The 24,246-nt window shown below is 48.9% G+C and overlaps 1 protein-coding gene, 1 long non-coding RNA gene and 1 pseudogene across 4 annotated transcripts in view, besides 6 other annotated features; 2 read left to right on the top strand and 1 right to left on the bottom strand.

Annotated features, from left to right (window-relative positions):
- On the top strand, positions 6,756-7,306 carry RPL21P86 (ribosomal protein L21 pseudogene 86; annotated as a pseudogene).
- On the bottom strand, positions 9,657-13,841 carry LOC107987095 (uncharacterized). The gene is made up of 2 exons (XR_001746837.2): positions 13,530-13,841; positions 9,657-11,337 (listed from the first exon to the last, which is right to left on the bottom strand). It is a non-coding gene; the product is annotated as an uncharacterized LOC107987095 (long non-coding RNA).
- Positions 12,075-12,244: an enhancer, noted in NCBI's record as "experimental_109781 CRE fragment used in MPRA reporter constructs". NCBI's record gives its function as "activates a minimal promoter by MPRAs in K562 erythroleukemia cells, with activity observed for both the introgressed and non-introgressed 9:95434326 variant alleles {active_cell/tissue: K562}" and the evidence as "EXISTENCE:reporter gene assay evidence [ECO:0000049][PMID:34662402]".
- Positions 12,502-12,796: an enhancer, noted in NCBI's record as "tiled region #2132; HepG2 Activating DNase matched - State 4:PromP, and K562 Activating non-DNase unmatched - State 2:TssF". NCBI's record gives its function as "activates a minimal TATA promoter and a strong SV40 promoter by Sharpr-MPRA in HepG2 and K562 cells {active_cell/tissue: HepG2 | K562}" and the evidence as "EXISTENCE:reporter gene assay evidence [ECO:0000049][PMID:27701403]".
- Positions 13,551-13,600: an enhancer, noted in NCBI's record as "active region_28598". NCBI's record gives its function as "activates an Ori minimal core promoter by ATAC-STARR-seq in GM12878 lymphoblastoid cells {active_cell/tissue: GM12878}" and the evidence as "EXISTENCE:reporter gene assay evidence [ECO:0000049][PMID:35858748]".
- Positions 13,611-14,060: an enhancer, noted in NCBI's record as "active region_28597". NCBI's record gives its function as "activates an Ori minimal core promoter by ATAC-STARR-seq in GM12878 lymphoblastoid cells {active_cell/tissue: GM12878}" and the evidence as "EXISTENCE:reporter gene assay evidence [ECO:0000049][PMID:35858748]".
- Positions 14,072-24,246, top strand: part of IPPK (inositol-pentakisphosphate 2-kinase) — a 56,949-nt gene continuing 46,774 nt past the window's right edge. For all 3 annotated transcript variants that reach the window (NM_022755.6, XM_017015041.2, XM_047423732.1), the window contains exon 1: positions 14,072-14,295. In NM_022755.6, the coding sequence (NP_073592.1) occupies positions 14,215-14,295 (81 nt within the window). In that variant the 5' untranslated portion in view covers positions 14,072-14,214. The remainder of the gene's footprint in view (positions 14,296-24,246) is intronic.
- Positions 14,101-14,280: a silencer, noted in NCBI's record as "silent region_20031". NCBI's record gives its function as "represses an Ori minimal core promoter by ATAC-STARR-seq in GM12878 lymphoblastoid cells {active_cell/tissue: GM12878}" and the evidence as "EXISTENCE:reporter gene assay evidence [ECO:0000049][PMID:35858748]".
- Positions 14,801-14,970: an enhancer, noted in NCBI's record as "active region_28596". NCBI's record gives its function as "activates an Ori minimal core promoter by ATAC-STARR-seq in GM12878 lymphoblastoid cells {active_cell/tissue: GM12878}" and the evidence as "EXISTENCE:reporter gene assay evidence [ECO:0000049][PMID:35858748]".

Here is a 24,246-nt window from a genome sequence, read left to right as displayed (position 1 = left end):
ATTACAGGCATAAGTCACTGCACCCGGCCCAAAAATACTATCTTAATTACTGAAGTTTTGTGGTGAGTTTTGAAATCAGGCCATGCATGTCTCCAGGTTTGTTCTGCAAGTGTGTCTCCCATGCCTTATCCTTTGCATCATTGTACAAAGTCAGCTTGCTAGGCCAGGCATGGTGGCTTATGCCTGTAATCCCAGCACTTTGGGAGGCCAAGATGAGTGGATCACTTGAGGCCAGGAGTTTGAGACCAGCCTGGCTAACATGGTGAAACCCCGTCTCTACTAAAAATACAAAAAAAATTAGCTGGGCGAGGTGGTGGGCGCCTGTAATCCCAGCTACTCAGGAGGCTGAGGCAAGAGAATCATTTCAACCCAGGAGGCAGAGGTTGCAGTGAGCTGAGATCATGGCACTGCACTCCAGCCTGGGTGACAGATCAAGATTCTGTCTCAAAAAATAAATTAATTTAAAAAAATGCTGGGACCGTAAGTTTTGTTTGTCGGGTTTTAGCACAGAAAAGCATAAGGAAGAAATAGTGCATAATGCCACTGCTAAGATCACATCCTTAACCTCAAAAAGTGAAAAAGGAATGCAAGAGAATGGTTAAACATGTTATAATACGTTGTCCATTTCCTCTCTGAAAAAAGTCTGTGTCGACAGTTTCATGGGTTACCTTTGCAATATTTTTTTCTATACATCCTTTCCTAAAAATGCAGCCAGAAGGCACCATACTTTTATTTATTTATTTACTGTTTTTTGAGACGGAGTCTCACTCTGTCACCCAGGCTGAAGTGCAGTGGTGCGATCTCAGCTCACTGCAACCTCTGCCTCCCAGGTTCAAGTGATTCTCCTGCCTCTGCCTCCCGAGTAACTGGGATTACAGGCATGCACCACCACTCCCAGCTAATTTTGTATTTTTAGTAGAGATGGGATTTCACCGTGTTGGCCAGGCTGGTCTCAAACTCCTGATCTCAAGTCATCCACCCACCTCGGCCTCCCAAAGTGTTGGGATTACAGGAGTGAACCACCACTCCTGGCCCAGAAGGCACCATACTCTACACGTTGTCTTGCACCTGGAGGTTTTGCTTACTGCTCTGGAGGGTCTCCCTCTTTTCTATGAATGGCTGCAGAGTGTCCCCCCGAAACACACTTGCGCTGCAGGGTGACCAGTCAGTCCCTGCTGACAGCCACAGAGGTGGTTTCCAGTTTTGCTCATAGGAAGTTCTATAGTGGGTACCTTTTTATGGCTGCCTTGGCATAGCTCTCTGTAGGTGCAGTGGGTATCGCGTTCGCCCCAGAACTCTGGGTGTCAGAAGTGTTCTAGTCATGCTTTGCTGTGGCTGCCCTTCTCTTTTTTCTTTTTTTGAGATGGAGTCTCGCTATGTTGCCCAGGCTGGAGTGCAGTGGTGTGATCTCGGCTCACTGCAAGCTCTGCCTCCTGGGTTCACGCCATTCTCCTGCCTCAGCCTCCCGAGTAGCTGGGACTACAGGTGCCCACCACCACGCCCGGCTAATTTTTTGTATTTTTAGTAGAGACAGGATTTCACCGTATTAGCCAGGATGGTCTCGATCTCCTGACCTCATGATCCGCCCACCTCGGCCTCCCAAAGTGCTGGGATTACAGGCTTGAGCCACCGCGCCTGGCCCGGCCTTTTCTCTGTGTCACTTCTCATCTGCCTTCTGTCCATCTGGCCCCCACGCCCATTGGAGCTCCCAATCTTCCTCACTCAGGGTAAGATGCAGGATCTCCCTATGTGGGCCCTGGACAAGGGAGTTGTATCTTCCCTCCTGGGAACATGTGTACAGTGGTGGCTCTCACCCAGGAAATTTTCCCCCAAGTGCCATCTAGGACAGTATGGAGACATTTTTGGTTGTTGCAAGTGGGGGCTGGGGGTGGCTATTGGCATCTAGTGAGTGAATACCAGGAATTCTGCTCACCATCTGTGTTAGTTGGGATTGTCCAGAGAAACAGAACCAGTACTACAGATATTTATAGAGAAAGAGATCTATTGTAAGGACTTGGCTCATGCAACTATGGAGGCTGGTGAGTCCCAAGATCTGCAGGCAAGACCCAGGGACACTGATGTGTGTTCCAGGCCAGAGACTGGCAGGCTCGAGACCCAGGAGGAGGAGATGTTTCACTTTGAGTCCAAAGACAGGAAAAAGCCAATGTCCCAGTTTGAAGGCCTCAGGGAGGAGGAGTTTCCTCTTACTCAGGGGAGGAGCAGCATTTTTGTTCCATTCAGGCTTTTGAACTGAGAGATGAGGCCTGTCCGCCTTGTAGAGGACTGTCGGCTTCACTCAGTGCTGTGGTCTGAATGTCTGTGTCCCCCCAAAATTCAATGTTGAAGCCAACCCCAAGGTGATGGTATTAGGAGACGGGGGCATTAGGGAGATGATTAGGTCATGGGGGAGGAGCCTCAGGAATGGGATCAGTGCCCTAATAAAGGAGGCCTCAGAAAGCCACCTTGCCCCCTCCACCACCTGCCCCTTCCACTATGTGGGGACACAGTGAGAAGGTGCTCTCTATGAGGTAGGGGCCCTCTCCGCATGCCAAATCCGCCGGCTCCTTGATCTTGGACTCTCTAGCCTCCAGGACTATGAAAACACATTTCTGTAGTTTATAAACCACTCAGTCTAGTATTTTATTATAGCAGCCCAAATGGACTAAAACAACCAGTCTGCCAATTCAAATATTAATCTCATCCAGAAACACCCTCACAGACACACCCAGTCAGGTTAACACATGAAATTCACCATCACAGCATCCTACAATGCCCAGAACAATGCCTTCCACAACTCGTAATTCTTTGGTCCAAATGTCAGTAGTGCGGAGATTGAGAAACCCTGGCGCAGAGGAAGGAGCTGCATTTATCTTGATACAAAGGCGTATCTAGGATAAATTTCTATGAAAGGGTGTTTGCATACTTTATATTTTAATAGATATTGCCAAACTGTCCCTGGAAGGATTGCACTAGGTAAGACTACACTCTACAGTGTACAAGAAGGATGTTTGTTATCTCATGGCCTCTCCAGCAGTGGTTATTGTCAAGTGTTTATGCTTGGAACATTTTTTTCTCATCAGAGAGCTGTAGAACCAAGCCTTTGACCAGCAAATCCAGGGACTCTGTAGCCTACTAGTTTTAGCTGTTTTCTAATTATTTTTATAATACAATTCACTGGCTGCTAATGTGGTGAAGCAGGTTCACATTCCTGAGGGCTGAGAGTCGTTTCTGCGTGTTGGGGCTGATTGTAAGCAGCTTGGCTGGGTCTGTACAGTGCTAACTTGAGGTGGTTCCCCTTGAAAGAGGCCAAGGACAGAACTCACTGGGGTTGTCCACTGGGCTGGGGAAAGACATACTTCCCCTGGAGTGGGAACTTACAAGAGGGAAGAGAAGCAAGGCTCAGCAAGGGGCTGGGTCCCAGGCATCTTCACGGAGGCTGCCCTGGGCAGAGAGGCCTCCCCAGGGAGCAGCCCTAAGCCAGGCACCCCCTTCCTTCCCTCTGCCTAGCCCTGCCTGTCACCTCCTCTAACTTCCATCCCTGGGGGACTCTGCTTCTCCTTGGTCCTGCTAGCAGGAGCATCTTCCTGGAGCCAAGTGGGGCCCCAAGGGAGGTCTGGTCAGTTCTAGTTCCCCACAGCCCTGCTTGCTCATGGGCCCCCATGGTCCCTGCCCCGGAAGCATCCCGTAGTTTTTGGCACCTGGTGTGGGCTGGCCCTTGCCCCAGTCTCCACCCTTGGGCGTCTCCCAGCCCTTTCCCGGCAGGTCCCCCTGCAACCCACCCAGTGCCTGGAAACCACACCAGGGTGCCGGAGGCCTTGGGGTGCAGGCATCGGCTTCATATGCATGGATGGTGACACATTCCTTTACAGTCTCTCTCTCGGGCACAGAGAGGGCTATGAGTCCTGCTGGCCAAGCCTGCCTACGCCATAATCCAGCTCTTTGTCACTGCTGCCTACAGCACTTGCATAACCCTGTGACTCAAGAAGTTTCTGTCTGCCTGGGACCTGCCATCACTGTTCCCGTCAGTCCTCTGGAAGGTTCCCAAGGGCTCCTCCCTCCTCCATCCCAGCAGGTGGCTGGCCTGTGTCTGCTTCTTTAGCGGGGTGCCCATGCAAACTGCCTGGTGCCTCCGTGTGGCCTCTCTTGGCCTCCTCTCTTCCAACCGTTCAGAGCTTCACTCTTCCTGCACACCCCCGTCCGCACCCAAGGTCTGCGGTCCTGTGTTCTACAAAGCCTCTGCCTGTTACTCTCTGAAACCTGGGGTGGGAACGCATCTTTATTGCTTCAGTGGCTCCCACTCCAGCCTCATCAGTGGTGCCCTGAGGCCAATTTCAAGCCTGTTGAACTCCAGGCTTGCTATAATGTTTCTTGATCCTTCTCTCAGCTAGTTACCTGCCTATAGAGGCTCTGTCCAGGGAACACGAAGAGAAGGGTGTCCTGCTGAGCACAGTAGGGGATGGCTGTGGCCCTTCTCTCCTCCACCCTAGCCAAGCCAGCGAAATATGTTACAAGGCCCAAGGGCTCTCTCCAGGCCTAACACCCTACCCTAGCCTGCAGAGCTACTCTGTCCCTGCAAGCATGGTGTCCGTCTCTGACCTTCAAAGTCCTGCCCGGAACAGATGCTCCTAGCCTTTCTTTGTCTTGCTGATTGTGCCCCTACCTCATTAACTCTCCCTCCTCACGCTTCTCTGACACTTGCTATTTTTTGAGGCTGGACTGGAAACCAGGAGTCCTCTTATATTTATTTTTAATACGTAAAATATGTACATATGTGCGTATAAAATTAAAAAAGGAAAAAAGGTTACAGAGTACAGCTGAGGTGTTTTTTTTCTTTGTCTCCACCCATTCTACTCCTGGTATGTAACTGTTACCAATTCTTTATGTATCTTTCCAGAGATATTCTATGCATGCCCGTCAAAATATGTGTGTATGTTGTATATTTTTATACAAATGGTAACAATATTCACAGTGTCCTAGCTTTATCTTTTTCACTTGCTGTATCTTGAAGATCACTCTATTCTTCCCAATGACTGCATACTCTTTCATGGATAATTTAGGTATCTACTTGCTATCTTTTTCGACAGTTATGTACATTGTGGTTATGTAGATTCTGTTGTGCAGAGATTTTAATTTTTTATTGTGATAAAATATTCATAACATAAAATTTACCATTTTAACTACTTTTTTTTTTTTTTTTTTGAAATGGGAGTTTCGCTCTTGTTGCCCAGGCTGTAGTGCAATGGTGTGATCTTGGCTCACTGTGGCCTCCGCCTCCCAGGTTCAAGCGATTCTCCTGCCTCAGTCTCCCAAGTAGCTGGGCACGCCCGGCTAATTTTTGTATTTTTAGTAGAGATGGGGTTTCGCCATGTTGGCCAAGCTGGTCTCAAACTCCTGGCCTCAGGTGATCCGCCTGCCTCAGCCTCCCAAAGTGCTGGGATTATAGGTGTGAGCCATGGCACCCGGCCTTAACCACTTTTAAATATACAGTTCGATGGCATTAAGTACATTCATAATATTGTGCAACCATCACCACCATTAATCTCTAGAACTTTCCTCATCTTGTAAAACCAAAACTCTGAATCCATTAAAAACTGGCTCCCCATTCCTCCCTCCCCCAGCCTCTGGCAGCCATCATTCTACTTCCCGTCTCTGTGAATTTGACTATTCTGCTACCTTGAAATTTTACCTTCTGTTTTGTGACAAGGTCTCACTCTGTCGCCCAGGCTGGAGTGCAACAGTGTAATCAGATTACTGTATCCTTGAACTCGTGGGCTCAAATGATCCCCTTGCCTTAGCCTCCTCAGTAGTTGCGACTACAGGTGTGCCATCATGCCTAGTTAATTAAAAAAATTTTTTTTGGAGCGATAGGGTCTTGCTATGTTGCCCAGGCTGGTCTTGAACTCCTGGCCTAAAGTGATCCTCTTGACTCAGCCTCACAAAGTGCTGGGATTATGGGCATGAGCCACTGGGCCTGAGGTTAAAATTTTAAATATAGACAAAGATGTCAATCTTTTCTCTGATGGACTGTACTTTTTTTTTTGTCTTGTCTAAGTCAAAGATGATGCTAATGCCATGGGATGCCCTCACTGGGGTGGAGTTGGGGTGTCCCTGATTATGCTGCAGTACTGAGTTTCATTGGATTAAATTTCTAGCTGTGGAAATGATGAGTCAAGTGAGATTAGCTGCATTAATTTTAATAATATGGCCAAATTGAACTCTAACATTGGACTGTCACCTTGGAGAGCATTTTCCTGGAGTGTAAAAGAGAGGCAGGTGGAGGGTGGGTGCTGTGATTTGAATGTTTGTCCCCTCTAAAACTCATGTTGAAATTTATCTGCCATCGTAACAGTATTAAGAGGTGGGATATTTAAGAGGTAATTAGGGGCTGGGTGCCGTGGTTCATGCCTGTAATCCCAGCACTTTGGGAGGCTGAGGTGGGCAGATCACTTGAGCCCAGAAGTTTGAGACCAGCCTGGCTAACATGGTGAAACCCCGTTTCTATTAAAAATACAAAAATTAGCCGGGTGTGATGGTGCGCACCTGTAGCCCCAGCTACTCGGAAGGCTGAGGAAGGAGAATCACTTGAACCTGCAAGGCAGAGGTTGCAGTGAGCCGAGATCGTGCCTCTGCCTTCCAGCCTGGGCGACAGAACAAGACTCCATCTTAGAAAAAAAAAAAAAAAAAAGAGGTAATTAGGTCATAAGGGCTCTGTCCTCATAGGTGGGATTAATGCCATCATAAATGGGCAAGTTCTGCCTTTTGGCTGGAAGCGCCATCTTCCAGTAATTTGCCAAAATGATGAACACAAAGGGAAGAGAAGAGGGGCCCAGTATATGTTATCTAAGCCTTTTAGAAAACAGGAAGTTATTCCTTTGTTCACATACATGCGAATCTATAAGAAAGGTGATATTGTAGACATCAAAAGAATAGGTACTGTTCAAAAAGGAATGCTCACAAATGTTACCGTGGCAAAACTGGAGCAGTCTACAGTGTTACTCAGCATGCTGTTGGCATTGTTGTAAACAAGGGCAAGATTCTTGCCAAGAGAATTAACGTGTGTATTGAGCACATTAAGCTCTCTAAGAGCCAAGATAGCCAAGACAGTGAAGGAAAACGATCAGAAAAAGAAGGAAGCCAGAGAAAGGTACTTGGGTTCAACTGAAGCGCCAGCCTGCTCCACCCAGAGAAGGACACTTTGCGAGAGCCAGTGGAAAGGAGCCTGAGCTGCTGGTACCCATTCCCTCTGAATTTACGGCATAATAGGTATTACAAAAATAAAAGACCACTGGACTACAAAAAAAAAAAAGATATAAAAAAATCAAAGGGCAAGTTCTGTCCTTTCTTACTCTCTCTTTACCCTTCTGCCATGTGATGCCTCCCATGCGATGACACAGCAAGGCCCTTGCCAGATGCTGACATCTTGATATTGGACTTCCTGTCCTCCAGAACCGTGAGCAATTAGTTTCTGGTCATTATAAATTAGCCAGTCTGTGGTATTCTGTCATAGCAGCACAGGATGGAGAGCTGACACTCTGACAAGACCCCAGGAAAGTGACTGCTAATCCAGGTAACAGCATGCCCATCTTTGTATTCCTGTGTGGGAAGGAGCCGTGTGCTGAGGCCCCTGACTCACCATACTGGGAGGACCCCTCAGAATCTGTGGGGTTGCCTCAGGACAGCAGGGTCTTATCCCATGGCAGGTTCAGGTGACCCAAATACTTGCGTCCACCCTCAGGAAAGCTGCCCCAGTTCCATCTGGCTGGGCATCCTGAGGCTGCTGCATCAGGGCTCTGTTCTTGTTTCTGATCAGACAGGTAAGTCACATCTTTTACACAAAATTCAAATGTTACAGAATCATGTAGCATCATCAGTGCACATCGCCAAAGAAAAGCTCAGTTAACAATAAGACACATATTCCTTCTCTTTTCCATTCAAACACATTTGTTCCTGTGTTTAACAATGTATCGTGGCCATCTTGCATTTCTAAACACAGAGCTAGGTCTACCTATTTAAGAAATGTGTGAGGATTGGCCGGGCGTGGTGGCTCACGCCTGTAATCCCAGCACTTTGGGAGGCTGAGGTGGGCGGATCACGAGGTCAGGAGATCGAGAACATCCTGGCTAATGTGGTGAAACCCTGTCTCTACTAAAAATACAAAAAATTAGCTGGGTGTAGTGGTGGGCACCTGTAGACCCAGCTACTCGGGAGGCTGAGGCAGGAGAATGGTGTGAACCCGGGAGGCGGAGCTTGCAGTGAGCTGAGATTGCGCCACTGCACTCCAGCCTGGGCAACATAGGAAGACTATCTCAAAAAAAAAAAAGAAAGAAATGTGTGAGGATTTATTCATTTTGTGAAATTTTAGAGAAGTGGTATATGAATATGTTCTCTGTGAAACAGTCAACAATATAGAAATGTAAGAGGAAAGTTGGCTGGGTGCGGTGGCTCACGCTTGTAATCCCAGCACTTTGGGAGGCCGAGGCGGGCGGATCACTAAGTCAGGAGTTCGAGACCAGCCTGGCTAACACCGTGAAACCCCGTCTCTACTAAAAATACAAAAAATTAGCCGGGTGTGGTGGCGCGCGCCTGTAGTCCCAGCTACTTGGGAGGCTGAGGCAGGAGAATTGCTTGAACCCGGGAGGTGGAGGTTGCAGTGAGCCGAGATTGCGCCATTGCACTTCAGCCCAGGCAACAGTGCGAGACTCTGACTCAAAAAAAAAAAAAAAAAAAAAAAAAAGAGGAAAGTGAATTTCCTCCCCTAGTTCTTCCCACTTTCCTCTTTCCAGTGGGGCTAATATAATAATCTCTTTTCCTTTTTCGTTTCATTTATACACATTCTCACACATTTGTTTTACTTAACCATAGGCTTTCAACATCTTTCAGGTCAGTACAAAACAGGTCTAACATATATTTTTACTAGCTGTATGGTTTTTCTGAGTATGTCACCATTCAGCAATTCTGAGACTCATCTGGGAACTTGTTAGAAATGCGGAGGCCATCCTGAAGTGTCCCAAGCTGAAAACCAAGTCCTGTCATCACTCCTCCTGTCTGTATGAACACCCTGTACCTATCTCTGAGTATTTAAGGGAGAGTTCCATAGGATTAAATTTCTAGCTGTGGAGATGAGTCAAGTGAGATTAGTGGCATTAATTTTAATAATATGGCCAAACTGAACTTTAACATTGCAATGCCTCCCCACCCTCACCAGCAGTGCATATGTGTGCTGTCTGTCCCCTCCCCATCACCCATGGCAAACACTGCCTAAGACTGTTTCACCACACTGATATATGAGACACTTCATTATTTGTTTTTTGTCTGTTTTTGAGACAGAGTCTTGCTATCACCCAGGCTGGAGTGCAGTGGTGCGATCTCGGCTCACTGCAACCTCCGCCTCCTGGGTTCAAGCAATTCTCCTGCCTCAGCCTCCCAAGTAGCTGGGATTACAGGTGCCCGCCACCAAGCCTGACTAGTTTTTGTATTTTTAGTAGAGTTGGAGTTTCACCATGTTGGCCAGGCTGGTCTTGAACTCCTGACTTCAAGCGATCCACTCACCTGGGCCTCCCAAAGTGTTGGGATTACAGGCGTGAGCCACTGTGCCTGGCCGACACTTCATTATTTGAATTTCAATTAATTATGAAAGGAGCTGAACAATGAGTGTCTTCTTTTTCTGTAAATGAACTTTTTATTTTGGGATTAGATTTACACAAATGTTGTAAAGGTAGTACAGAGTTCCTATGTGCTCTTCACCAGCCGCCCCCAAAGTGAATACACATAACTGGCACATGCCCAAACAAAACAACTTACATTAGTACACTACTATTAACTAAACTTTAGGTTTTATTTGGATTTTACCTGTTTTCCCATCAATGTCTGTTTCTGTTCCAGGATCCAATCCAAGATCCCACATTGCATTGAGTCATCATGTCTCCTTAGGGTTCCCTGATCTGTGACACTTCTTCAGTTTATCCTTGTCTTCCATGACCATGGCAGTTTTGAAGTCCTGGTTAGACTGGGTCAGTCTCCCGTTCCCCCAGATCCTTCCTTCTCCTGGTCCGTGTCTCAGTATGAACTGTGTGAACTGTGTGAATTGTCCCTCAATTTGGGTTTGTTTAATGTTTTCTAATGATTAGAAAGGGCTTATGGGTTGGGGGGAAACGCCACAGAGGTGAAGTGCCTTCTCATCATGCCATGCCATATCGTGGCAACGCATGGTATCACATACTTTCTTAGTAAGGAAAATTCCGAACACACATAAAAATAGCAAGAGTAGAGTAAGAACTCATTACTTGGTACTCCACAATTACCAATGCTTTTCCACCCTGTTTCTGGATACTTTTCTTTTTCTTTTTTTTCCAGACGGAGTCTCACTCTATCGCCCAGGTTGGAGTGCAGTGGCACAATCTCAGCTCACTGTAACCTCTGCCTCCTGGGTTCAAGCTATTCTCCTGCCTCAGCCTCCCAAGTAGCTGGGACTACAGGTGCCTGCCACCACGCCCGGCTAATTTTTGTATTTTTAGTAGAGACAGGGTTTCACCATATTGGCCAGGATGGTCTCGATCTCCTGACCTTGTGATCCGCCCGCCTCATCCTCCCACAGTGCTGGGATTACAGGCGTGAGCCACCGTGCCCGGCCCTGGATAGCTTTTCAATATGGTTAGAAGACATTTTCATTTTACTTTTCTGTTCTCTTCTCCATCCTTCCTTCTTCCCTCCCTTCCTCTATCTTTCCTTTTTAACACAAAAGGAGAAAGCACTAACAGTGTTGGCAATCTATATGGGACCTAGATAGAAGAGCATAACACATCTAATTAAATTGCTCCCTCTCTTGGCTCAGACTGCCATGACAAAATACCATAGGCTGTATAGCTTAAACGACAGACATGTGTTTCTCATGGTTCTTTTCCAGCCTTCTTTTCTTCCAGCCTCCTCAGATGGGAACCCTCTCCTCTGCATTCCCACTGTTCGTCCCCATATTTGTTTCTTTTTTCTTTTTGAGACGGAGTCTTGCTGTCACCCAGGCTGGAGTGCAGTGGCAGGATCTCAGCTCACTGCAGCCCCACCTCCTGGATTGATGCAGTTCTCCAGCTTCAGCCTCCCAAGTAGCTGAGATTACAGGCACACGCCACCACATCCAACTAATTTTTGTATTTTTAGTAGAGACGGGGTTTCACCATGTTGGCCAGGCTGGTCTTGAACTTCTAGCCTCAGGTGATCCGGCCATCTCGGCCTCCCAAAGTGCTGGGATTACAGGCGGGAGCCACCGCGACCGGCCCCCTATACTTCTTTCAAAGCACCCGAGTTCAGGAGGGGAAATGGCATGGTCTGCCCAGGTGCTGTTGCCTGTGAATTTAAAAAGAATGATAAAACCAAATTTGGATTTAAAAAACCTTTTTTTCAGACAACATCTGGCTCTGTCACCCAGACTGGAGTGCAGTGGTGTGCTCTCAGCTCACTGCAACCTCCACTTCCTGGGCTCAAACAATCCTCCAACCTCAGTCTCCTGAGTAGCTGGAACTACAGGTGTGTACCACCATGCCCAGCTAATTTTTTTGTTATTTTTTGTAGAGATGGGTTTCACCATGTTGGCCAGGCTGGTCTTGAACTCCTGAACTCAAAGTGATCCACTCACCTGGGCCTCCCAAAGTGTTGTAATTACAGGCGTGAGCCACCATCCCCAGCATGAATCTGCTTTTTATCATCACCATATAATGGCAATTTTAAAGTATCAGGGATATAATACACCTCCATGGGGGAAAAAATCAAGATACAGAACATTTCTAGCACCTTAGAGGTTTCAAGGAAATATTTTAATGCTTAATATATTATTTAATCTCACCCCAACTCTCCTTTTTGCAGGGTGCTGAGGAACTCAACTGCAGTCATGTTTAAGCTTCCCTGGCCTTGTGGGGGCGTGGGAAGGACTGAATTTTGTGAGCCCTAAGGTCCTCTCTCTCTGTTGGGAGCTACTTACCTCCAGGAGTGGCTGTTTCTGCCCCCATTTCTCAACCATCCCTGTGGAGGGTCCTGAGCCACCTCCCACCCAGCTTCCCCACCACCCCCCCCCCACCGCCTCCTTTTTTCTCTTTCAGACGGAGTCTTGCTCTGTTGCCCAGGCTGGAATGCAGTGGCACGATCTGGGCTCACTGCAACCTCTACCTCCCGGGTTCAAGTAATTCTCCTGCCTCAGCCTCCCGAGTAGCTGGGATTGCAGGCGTGCACCACACACCCAGCTAATTTTTGTATTTTTAGTAGAGATGGGGTTTCACCATATTGGCCAGGCTGGTCTCAAACTCCTGACCTCATGATCCACCGCCTTGGCCTCCCAAAGTGCTGGGATTACAGGCGTGAGCCACCACACCCAGCCTCCCCCACTTTTTTTTTTTGAGACAGAATCTTGCTTTGTCACCCAGGCTAGAGTGCAGTGGCTTGATCACGGCTCACTGCAGCCTCAACCTCCCGGGCACAAGCGATCCTCCCGCCTCAGCCCCTCAGCCCTACAAGTAGCTGGGGCTACAGGCACAGATACCACACCCTGCTAATTTTTTGTAGAGACAGGGTTTCACCATGTTGCCAGGCTGGTTTGGAATTCCTAAGCTCAAGCGATCCGCCCACCTCGGCCTCCCAGAATGCTGGGATTACAGGCATGAGTCACCATGCCCTGCCCCAGCCTCCCTTTTGAGGCCTAAAATGGAGGAAAGAGATGCTCAAAGCCTTCAGCTCATTTTCCTGAGTCACTGGCCTGATTTCACTACAATTCCCAAGGCCTGGCAAGGTGCCCAGCCGTTCTCAAAGTTGGGTCTGCAGGTCCTCTCTTTGTGAACTACATAACTGCAGATGTTCTTCACAATGTGTATGTCAACCAATGCAATATATTGCAGCAGACCGAATGCCGAAGCACATGTGAGAACCTATTAGGTCAGATTTTAAAAAGATTTGCAAAAGTGTAAAACAATACCACTCCTTTATTTTGGTGGTGGGCGTGGAATGTAATGTTTACTTTTTTTTTTTTTTTTTTTTTTGAGATGGAGTCTCACTCTGTCGTCCACGCTGGAGTGCAATGGCGCGATCTTGGCTTACCGCAACCTCCGCCTCCTGGGTTCAAATGATTCTCTTGCCTCAGCCTCCGGAGTAGCTGGGATTACAGGCCTGCGCCACCATACCTGGCTCATTTTTGTATTTTTAGTAGAGACAGGGTTTCACCATGTTGGCCAGGCTGGTCTCAAACTCCTGACCTCAGGTGATACGCCCGCCTCAGCCTCCCAAAGTGCTGGGATTACAGGCGTGAGCTACCGCGCCCGGCTGTTTACTTTTAAACGAAACAACAAAAAACTTTAAAGCATTTTAACTTAGAATGTGGTAACATCGATAGCTGTAACCCACATTAGCAAAAGCTTGGGGCCCTCATTTTTATGAGTATAAAGTGGTCCTGAGACTACGAGTTTGGGAAATGCGGTAGCTCTACGAGGCGGTGCCATTCTTGCCGCCGCATCAGTGAATTTAGGAGAAGGAAGGTCGTTAGCCCTCTGCCTCACCGCCAAGCAGGAGCCTTGCGCTCCAACTGCGTCCCTCGAAGTCTTCAGGCAAAAGCGGGACTGGGGAGTCCAGTCCTGTGGCCCAGCCACATTTCCTCGCGTAGAACGTTGGACAATGTTTTCTACCTCACAGGACCATCCAAATGACTGCGTTAGGTATTCCCATGAAATGTACGATGAGTACACCCTATTCTACAGAAGCAAAAGCTGAGGCTCAGAGACGCCAAGAGGTTTGCTGGGGTCTCGCGACTAAGCGGTCCCAACACCCAGACACCCTGGCTACCCGGGGACTGCCGGTCACTACCGGGCGCCGAAAAGCCGCCGGCTCCTTCCGCCAGCTACACATCCGGCGCCGAGGCCGGAAGCTTCTCTTCCGGCTCCCAAGACCGCGTTCCGGAAATGAGTCGCTCTACCAGTACCTAAGATGGCCGCCGGCCCATCCACCGTCGCGATCGGTGTGAGGAAAGTGTCACGAACCCGGAATTGCCCGACTCCGTCATGGCAGGCGCCGGGGGCGTGGCTTCCGGCGGCCACAGCTTGCTAGTCGCCGCGGCGGGGTCGAGCGGGGGCGGCAGCTGACAGGCGCTCCTCCCCCGACCGCAGCGGCTGGTTCCCAGCGAGGCGGGCGGCCCCCAGCTCGCGTCCCCGAGTCCTAGCCCGCGAGGCGCCAGGGCTGCGCCTGGGCATGGAAGAGGGGAAGATGGACGAGAATGAATGGGGGTACCACGGAGAGGGCAATAAGAGCCTGGTGGTGGCCCACGCGCAGGTGAGCGGTGGACGTGCGGCGCAGGTCCGGTACCTCACTCCGACGGCCGGTATCACCCCGCCCCCATTATCCGTTTCCTCAACAGGGTCGGTTCCACGTCCCCCCAGTACCTTCCTCCTCCCCGGCCGGTCTCCGGAATTCCCCCACCCTCCAGCATCCCCCCCTACCGCTTGGGTTCCTCATCACCCCAGTATCCCCTCTCTACTGGGTCAGTCTCCCATTGCCCCAGATCCTTCTCCTGGCCGGTCTGTCGTCCCCTCAGTATTCCCGTTCCCCGTCAGAGTCAGTTCCACATCCCCCTCCCCGCCCCGTCGGTGCCGCGCTCAGCCTCACGCGGTGCCGCCTCCCGCCTGGATGCCCGCCGGACTGCCAGGCCGCAGTGGGGTGGAGGCTTGGTTGGGACGGAGGGCCCGGCCAGCACTGGAGGAAGAAGCAGAGTGCCCACAGTGCTGTTACTCTCAGCACCAAAAGAGTTCAGCCTCGTGAGACTACGGAATTGCTGTGCTGTTAATAGTAAGGGGATGTTGTCCACAGGTCCTCTTCTCAACCTTTTAGAATTTGAAGGCTTTCACCTGAATTCAACGAGGGTGAAAGTTTTAGAAACTGCAGTAAGATCTCGCAAAGGTGAATCCCAAGAGTGAAGCGTGTGGGTTTCTGTGAGGGCCCAGATCTCTCTGACCTTTTGCTGTCTGGTACAACCACGCAGGAATGTGGCCGGCTGGAACGGGGGAGGGGGGTGAGGGAGGCGAGGATAGGTGTCATGTAGGGAGGAGTTAGAGCATGGGTGTTAAAGGCACAGGAATCTCAGTGTCTACATTTGTGAAGTGGAACTAGTAGTAGAATTCACTTTGTGGGATTGTTGCAAAGACCAGTTACGCAGGAACCCATCAAGTTATGCTTAGCAAGTGATAATTGTCATCCCTTGGACAGATAAATAAAGTGAAAATCAGAGAGGTTAAGGGCATTGCCCGAGTCGAACAGCTTGTCAGGGATGATGTAGGCAGTGGAGTCCTGCCTTGCTTCTGTTGTTCCTATGCTGGGTGCATTGGTCAGCTGTAGTGTAAGCTGCAAACACCCAGGTAGCCCCTAGGTTGTGCCTTTGGATTTTGTTGCTCATTAGCACAGGGAACTAAAGAACAGAGACTACAAGCTTTGCTCAAGATCTTTAGGTGAATTAATAATGGACCAGGCTAACCTAAAGCTGTCCTTCTCTTGTGTAGTCCACTATTGGCAAAGTGAGGGATGTTTCTGCGTGAGTCCTTTTGTTGTTGGGTTACTGTGCTGATCCCCTGAATCCTTTCCCAAAACAAATACTAATCTTCCAATTCCTTGGTAAGATTAGATGTATCTCTGCATTTTAGGTAAACCTAAGACTTTTCTTTAGTGAGGGCTGATACATTAAATTTCAAAAGTAGTGGCAGATGAAGCAGCAAGTTTCAGGCTTGGAGCAAAAGGACACCCATGTTGAAAGAGCAGAGGCTTTGACGCAGTTGCCTCTGGCACTTGGATCTCTCTGCACGTTCCAGACAAGTATGTGTCCACCCCCTTCCCTGAGTAGGCATCTCCAGGGCAGCCTGGCCCTACCCTGTTGCACAGCTCTGATTGTAATGATTGTTTATTTTTATTTATTTATTTATTTAGAAACGGGGTCTCACTCTGTTGCCCAGGCTGGAGTGCAGTGGCGCGATCTCGGCTCACTGCAACCTCCGCCTCCCAGGTTCAAGCGATTTTCCTGCCTCAGCCTCCCGAGTAGCTGGGATCACAGGCATGCGCTACCGTGCCCAGCTAATTTTTGTATTTTTAGTAGAGATGAGGTTTCACCGTGTTGACCAGGCTGGTCTCCAACTCCTAACCTCAAGTGACACCCACCTCAGCCTCCCAAAGTGCTGGGATTACAGGCGTGAGCCACCACGCCAGGTTGATTGTTTATTTTTTCTTTCACCTTTTCAAATTTACCTACAGCCACCAGGCTGTTCTAGACCTATGCTATTCATTCTTTTTTTTTGAGACGGAGTCTTGCTCTGTCTCCCAGGCTGGACTGCAGTGGCGCAATCTTGGTTCACTGCAACCTCTGCCTCCTGGGTTCAAGCAATTCTCCTGCCTCAGCCTCCCAAGTAGCTGGAATTACAGGTGCCTGCCACCATGCCTGGCTAATTTTTTTGTATTTCACCACGTTAGCCAGACTGGTTTCAAACTCCTGACCTCAAATGACCCGCCCGCCTCAGCCTCCCAGAGTGCTGGGATTACAGGTGTGAGCCACTGTACTCAGCCTCATTTTTTATTTTAAATCTAAACTTGCTTTACTGTGCTCATTCCTGCTTGGTTGTTGTTTTTAGCTCATCATTTGAAATTGAAGATTATCACTGCACATAGTCTCATGAGAAAATGTTTCCCATCAAGTTAAGGTCAGATGGAGCCTGTGCCTGATGTGGTAACCTGAACCAAGCCTAGCCCACCAGCTCTGCCCTGTGGCCTGTTTGCTCAGGCTGTGGACCGAGGAGGAGAGAGAGCAATTCCCAGAAGGCAGCTTTTTAGGACCTGTTGAGTTCGAGCAGAGGGTGTGTGTCAGTGGGATAAGAGATGGGTGAGGTAGAATAGGAGGAGTCCGTGGTCTTGTGGATGCTGAGCATGCGCCCAGCCTCCTTCCAGCCGGGTGTGGGAGCAGGTGGACCCTGCTACTGTACTCCTTAGATCCACCTCATTCAGTCCAAGAGAGAGGGAGGCCTTTGCCAAGTTTTTCCAGGTAAGGAGAGGGTTGCTTTCTCTGAGAGGACATCAGCTTCTCTCAGAATTGAAAGGTCCCTAATGAGTCCTGTGCTGACCCCCATCCCCTCTACCATGAGAACATGATGCGCCTTCAGCCAGCCTGAGCTCGTCCTGCAGGAGCCGAGGGCCTAGGTAAGGAGATCTGCATGGTCATTGGCTGTCAGCACTAGAAGGAGCACAGTGATGTTCTTCCTGCAGTATGCAAACATGGGATGAGAGAGAGCCTTCTGTGCAGCGCAGGACTTGTAGGAAATGAGGCCTGGGGATGGAGGAACTAGGTGTGGGCTACAGGAGGGTGGGAGGTTGTGCCCAGGGTGGGCAGGAAGGTAAATAGCAGGCCAGCCATAGAGAGGCGTTTAAAGGTGTTCCTGACAGAAGGTGGTCAGCTTCCCCAAGGCCCTTCCACTCAGAGACGGCCCAGGATGATTCTCATTTTGCCTGTCAGTTTGCATTCTGCCTCTGTTTGGGATGGTTGTGCACCTGAACTTTCCCAGGCACAGGTAACCATGGTGTTCTCTGCCTCATGTGGTGTGGACCCTGTGGCATGCTTGAGAGGCTCTCGGCAGCCTGGCATGTTCCCTGGTGTGTGTCTGGAGCTCCAGACACTGACCCTGTGGGGGCTCCTTGATGAGGGAACTTCCCATCTGGGCACAGTTTCCTCGCTGCAGCCTGAAGGTGCAGTACTTGGGCCAGTGGCCACATCTCAGGTTAGTGAAGTCCACAGGTTGCCCCTTTATGCACTGCCGCAGGATTTCTCTCCTGTGTGACGCCTGCGCCTGCCTCCTTCGCCTTCAGCTTGTTGGTTTTGGCTCAGTGTCCTGTCCTATGAAGGTCACTTTAGGTTTGGTTTGTCATTCCATCTCCTAGGTGTCTTCAGATCTGGATCATGCACTTGTCTGGGGCACTGAGCCCCTTCCGGACCACCTCAGCCTTGGGGAGCAGGGGCAGAAGGTGGCCCACTCCTGTCATGACACTAAGCTGTCATGATGTTTTCCTTCTTACTGACAGAGGTGACAGGAAAGACTTTGCCATTTAGTTGGCTTACCAGCCAACTAAATTGATCACATGTGTGGACAAAGCTGCTCACTTCCAGTTGTTCCAGTTTCGTGACCTTTCTGAGAGTCTGAGAGCTTCAGATCATTTCTGCAAATTGTTTTGTTGCCTGGGGAGTTTTGGTGTCCCTTTGGTACCTGTTTAGTGCTTGGGATATTTGTCTGGGCATTGAAGGTGTGAAGCTCAAGCGGTCAGGTGCCCTTCTACTGTTTCTCTTCTCATCTTGTGTTTTAAGATTTCTGGTTCATAGATCATATATATATGTATTTTTTTTGCCATACAGCATGATTTTGTATATTTTAATAATTTAAATGATTATTTTGTAGTGGATGAATTAAGTCCTTTATATGAGGATGTGTTTACAGTTACGTAGAAAAAGCAGGTTACAAAAGAAGATGCATGATGTGGTTATAATTACAAAATGATTAGAAGAAAATAGATGAAAATGTTCTAAGTGGCTGTAACTGATAGTATCACGAATCACTTTTACTTTTTTTTGTTTTTTAAATATTTTCTGAATTTCCTACAATGGATATGTATGATACTCAGGAAAAAAGATTAATTTTTAAAAAGTTTATACTCTTTGATTTACTAATTTCTGTTCTAGTAGTCCGTTCTAAGGAGATAATTAGAAACGTAAATAAAGATCTTATACACAAAGATATCCATTACAGAATCACTTAGAACAGGTTAAGTGGAAAGCCATTGTGCAGTCCTGCAGGACTGTTAACTGGGCCATACTTCCTACTGTGGATGCTGAAAGCACATACGTTTATGTTCTCTGTTTTTTTCTGACTGTATAACATGTGCCCAAGCCCTTGGTCGCTCCCTTTTACAATTTTTAGCTGGACCTAGTTGAAATAGTCTTAGCTTTCTGTTACTGCTAGCATTTTGTTTAAACTAGTGATGTATTCTGCATTTGGGATTTTTAGTGGCGCTCTAGGCTGACGCAGCTGATGTGGCTTCTTTCCTGGTGATGTTCCTTCTTGTCTCATTTGAGCTCATTGGAGAGCTGTGCTTGTGGCTCGCTCTTTGTTTATTCCTTTCTTTGTATCTGCAGTTGCGTGATGAGGTCTGCTGTTTGGTGACTGCAGCCTGTGACAGTGCCTCTCGTGCACGGGGGTTTGTTGGTTTGGCCTTGGCTCACCTCCTACTTTTACACCTTCTGAGGTCACACAGCCACTTTTCTTCTGCCTGACTGAGCCTCCTTCTGCATCAGAATTCAGTCAGAGCAAAGCTCCCCAGTGACTTCCTGTGTCTTCTGAGAGCTGCGATCCAGGAGGGTGAGAAAAGCATCATTACTGTGTCTGCAGAGAGCAAGGCTGTGCCTAGGGCCCGGCCACTCCTGCCTTGTTGCCAAGCGGTTGGGAGATCTGAGGGCCCGGACTTGCTCACAGTTCCCTGTGGCCCTCACTGTGGGCCTCTAGGCAGCCCTGCTTCCCCTTTACAGGCAGTGAGGCTTTCCATGCCTATAGGGGTCAGCCCCATGCACGAGGTGTGCCTATCCCCACAGGCCTCCCCATGTTCTGAGAGTTGTGTGGGTGTGTGACCTCCCCCATGGCCCACACCTGTGCCTGCTTCAGTCCTGCAGAGGACACCATGAGGTCAGGACGGAGTTGCCGAGGCTTGAGGACATGCCCCATACAGGTTGGACAAGGGGCCAGCACTTACTGCGCCCTGACCCCAGGCTGTCTCCAGTCTGGCCTCCCTGCTCTTGCCTGCAGAGTACTGGGCTCCCATCCTCCACAGGCATCTTGGTGATGTCACTTTTCATCCGGTGTCAAATGTGCTTTGTATTTCTATCTGAGGCCATACATTCCCAGTGAAGCGAAGCTCACCCTTGGGAGCGCTTCCTGTTGGAGCCCAGTACCGTAAGCCCTGCTTCTTGTTCCCTCCACGGTCCTACGCATCCTGGACATCCCTTTCTGGGTTGCAGAGGTGGACTTCGGCACCTCCTGCCCCTGGTGACTGACAGACCCCGGGCAGCCTTCTCTGGCTGGGACAGAGCTGGAGCTGGAGCTGCGGGGGTAAGCTAAGGAGGGTCTACAGGGAGGGCAGCCTCTTGAGACTGGACATTTGGGATCCCCCATGGCCCCTGCCTGGGAGTCATCTTCACAATTCGGAAGAAGCTGGAGCTGAGCATTGCTTCTAGAAGGCATCCTGAGGGGTGACCCCTGCTGCTGTTGTCTTTTTCTGTCTTCCCTTCCCATGAAAGTTGTCTGATCTCAGCTTCAGGTTATCTCCTCAGCCTGATGGAAGACTTGACCTTGGTCCTTGTCTTTTGACAGATCTCTGGAACAGCTGATTTTGTGGGTGATACCCCTCCAGAGTGAGTCCTCTGTGGGTGGCGGGAAAGTCTCTCCTCATCTGTCCTGAAAGGCTCTTGTAGTTAGTAGCTTTAATTCCACCCATAAGGTGCCCCCTCAGGCTTCCCATTGGCAGGTGTCCCTTTTAATGTATTGGGGTTTTTGTGGCCTTCTATTTTTATTTAACACCAATTGTTGCTTCTTCTCTCTGAAAATATAGAATATCAGAAGGAAGGAAGTGAAAAACATCCAATATTTCTCCATGAAGAGAACAAGTTTTGTTAACACTTTGGTGCACTTTCTTCTAGTCTTTTTCTATTTATTGTCAAGCATCGCTTAACACCAGGGATGCATTTTGAGAGCTGCATTGTTAGGTGATGTTGTTGCCATATGAACACACCTAGATGGTAGAGCCTGCCCCATGCCCAGGCTGTGTGGGGCAGCCTATGGCTCCTAGTCCTCAGACCCGCGCAGCATGGTTCTGGACTGAGTACTGCAGGCCATTGGGACACAATGGGAAGTGTTTGTTATCTAAAGGTAGAAACTGTGGTATTATAATCCTATGGGACACACCATTGTTTCATGCAGTCCATCACTGACCCAAGTGTTGTTATGTGATGCATGACTGTATTTTGTCTTTATTGGGTAGTTAACAACACTACGTATCTGTTTCTGTTTTGGGATTTTTTTTCACTTAATTTTATAGCACAAATATGTAGAAAATCCTCATGCATGTCTTGAAGGGTGCTCACGTGTTCCCAGTGTTGCGTTGGACATCCTTGTGGGTGGGCTTTGCCGAAAGTCTTCGTACACACTTCTTTGGACTTCTGATGCTCAGGCTGGGTTCTTGGGTGAATTAGGCCCCTTGGCACACGTTGCAGATCGCTTTCCACATGGCTGTGCCACCTACCCTTCCGCTGCAGCCCAGAAAGGGATTTTTATTGAAATGCTTTTTGCCACTTTTGTAAGTGACGAGTTGTGTCCCTTAACCTTTTAAATCTTGGGGTTATTTAGTGTGTGTGTATAAATGCATCACTCCTCTTGTTCTTCCTGTTGTTTGGTGTTTTTGGCTTGTTAGAATCCTTGATTTTCATCTAATTTTCCAAGGTGGAAGCTTCCCTGTTACCAAGACATAAAGGTGTGGCTTGGGCCTTGGTTTAGCGTTGCTTTTGTTAAGAAACACCCCAGCCCTCAGACTGCAGAAGTATCAAGTTCTTCCCTTCCAATCTTAACTCTTTTTCTTCACTTTTTTTTTTTTTGAGACGGAGTTTCGCTCTTGTTGCCCAGGCTGGAGTGCAATGGTACAATCTCGGCTCACCGCAATCTCTGCCTCCTGGGTTCAAGTGATTCTGCCTCAGCCTCCCGAGTAGCTAGGATTACAGTCATGTGCCACCACGCCGGGCTAATTTTGTGTTTTTTAGTAGAGACAGGTTTTCTCCATGTTGGTCGGGCTGGTCTCGAACTCCCGACCTCAGCTGATCTGCGCGCCTGGGCCTCCCAAAGTGCTGGGATTACAGGCATGAGCCACCGCGCCTGGCCCTTTTTCTTCACTTTTAACATTTTATTCTAGACGTTAAGAAGAAGGTAAGTTTCAAATATCTGGTTTCAGATACTTTTTTTAAGAGGAGTAGTGTCATTATCTCCATAGCTGGTTAAGACCTGGTGAGCTGGCAGGAGCTCGGAGCCTGCTGGGGTGTTGGTTCTTGCTCACTCCTTCATGTGAAGTCCCCCAGGTGGCTGTGTTGACCCCCTCTTCCCCAGCCATGGGTGCCCCTTGGACTCATTGTGTCTTTCTGCTAATGAGAGCTGCTACAGTGTTTTTTCACCTGTTTCCTGCCAGCTGCCTGCATGAGGGTAATGGGGCCCTGTGGCCTATGCATTACGAAGCCCTCAGCCTGGCACATCTTGGGGACCACCCACCTCGGCCAGCCCAGCCTGATCAGGTCCCTCACATGGGGCAGTTGGCATGGGCTGTAGAGAATAGGTGAGCTGAGTGTGTCTGAGTTTTGGTATTGATGAAAACTGGCTGAGACTACGGTTCCCCTGGGGGTAGGTTTCTTGTAATAGTTTTTGGATGATAAATGGGTGGGTGGAGAAAGCAGTTTCCCTTGAAATGGACAAATCACTGTATTCAGGTTTCCTTGGTTGGTTGTGGCTCTTGGGCTCCATAATGGGAAGGGATAGCAGGAGATTTCCTGTGAGTGACAGCAGGGAGGCCAAGCCACTGTGTTTGGATGTGGTGGTGGAGGAAATGTGAGGAAGGGGCTGGGAGGGCCGAGTGGGAGGGCCACTTTGGGCTTCTCTGCCCAGGCTTGGAAGGCCTGTGTCCATATCCTCTCCTGGGGGGCAGCACAGTACCCAATGCCCCCAGAGCCTGCTGGTGACTCAGTAGCAGCGAGGAGCCTGGCCACCAGAAAGACGCTGAGAACCTCCCAGGGTCCAGGCCCTCCTCTAAACTTGGCTTCACCCCACATGACCTTGACCTTTGGGGTCAAGACCTTGATCTTGATCAAGGCTTCTCTCCAGGCTGAGGCTGGGCCAGCAGGCGAGGCTGGACCTGGGTTCTCTGAGACCTGATCTGCCCTTGTGCAGTCTCACTTCCCATATTTCTGTAAACTGGGACTCAGTTGCCCATCTTGGAGGGAGAGACGGCTGGAGATGATGGAGTTTAGGAGTGTAGCGTGGGCCCTGAAGCGCTGGTGCTAGCACCTGCTGGCTATTGCAATAATAATTATTAATAAGTGCTAGCAGGAAGAATGATGTTATTTTATTATCCACAAGGACTGAGGACTAAGTCCTCAATGATTTAGGCTCTGACATCTTTTTCTCCTGGGACCTGTGTATGGTTTTTCTTTGTATAGTGCCCTGTGCAACTTATTTTTAAAAATTTTTTCTTCATAAGCCAGATAATGGCTTTCTGAATTAACTTATACTTTATGTGAGTGGTTTTGTGTGTAATAATAATGCATAGGAAATTTATAATTTCCATTTATAAATAAACAGAAAAGACCAGTTGTTCCCGCCTTTCCTGGCAACAGAGGGGCAGGGAACTTCAGAAAGCTGAGTCTGTATTAGCAGGTGAATGCTGCCAGGGGAGGGGGGTCCTGTGTTCTTGTAGTTGGTATTTCTGTTCATGGGCCCACTGAACTCCTTCCTCTGAGGCTACAGTGGGGAATTTCTGTGGAGAGAAAGCTCATGTGTCTTGGCCTGGCATCACCCTGATCAGGACTGCTTTGCTACAAAAGTCCATTGTGCAGCTTATGAGTTAGTTCCATGATAAACCGAGACAGGCCTTGCTTTCCTGTAGATGCCGCAGAGCTCTGTGCATGCAGTCTGGCAGGTGAGTAAGCTTGGCCCCTGTGGGTGGCGGGGTTTGCCCTGTGTGAGGGACAGGGTGAGAGCTTGCACCATGGCAGCCTGGGTCAGTTTACACTGATCAGGGATTTCATGTAATGTATTTTCTTATTGTGTTGATTTTCAAGCATGACCCTCAGTCACACTTACACATCGCTAGCAGGGCATCACTGAATGCTTGCCATCAGTGGAGAGCTGTACTGTGTTTGATGCCTAATTGTTGGAGGGCGGGTCAGGCACACTCGAATAGCACACACCATCATGTGTAGGTGAGGAGCAAATGCACTTTTAGGGGAACGAACTTCTGGGGAGCTGTCTAGAGTTAGGACTTCTGTCGATCAACTTCTGCCTTTCCTTAAATTTTGGTGGAATTATAGTTCCATTAAAATGATCCTTAGCCAGTCGATTCCCATGATTGATTGTTGATGCCTGCCTTCAGCTTGGGAGGGGACAGCGGTAGCATGCATGCCAT

This window comes from Homo sapiens, chromosome 9 (assembly GCF_000001405.40).
Source record: "Homo sapiens chromosome 9, GRCh38.p14 Primary Assembly".
Taxonomy (NCBI): Eukaryota; Metazoa; Chordata; class Mammalia; order Primates; family Hominidae; genus Homo; species Homo sapiens.
This window is presented reverse-complemented; position numbering and strand designations above follow the sequence as displayed.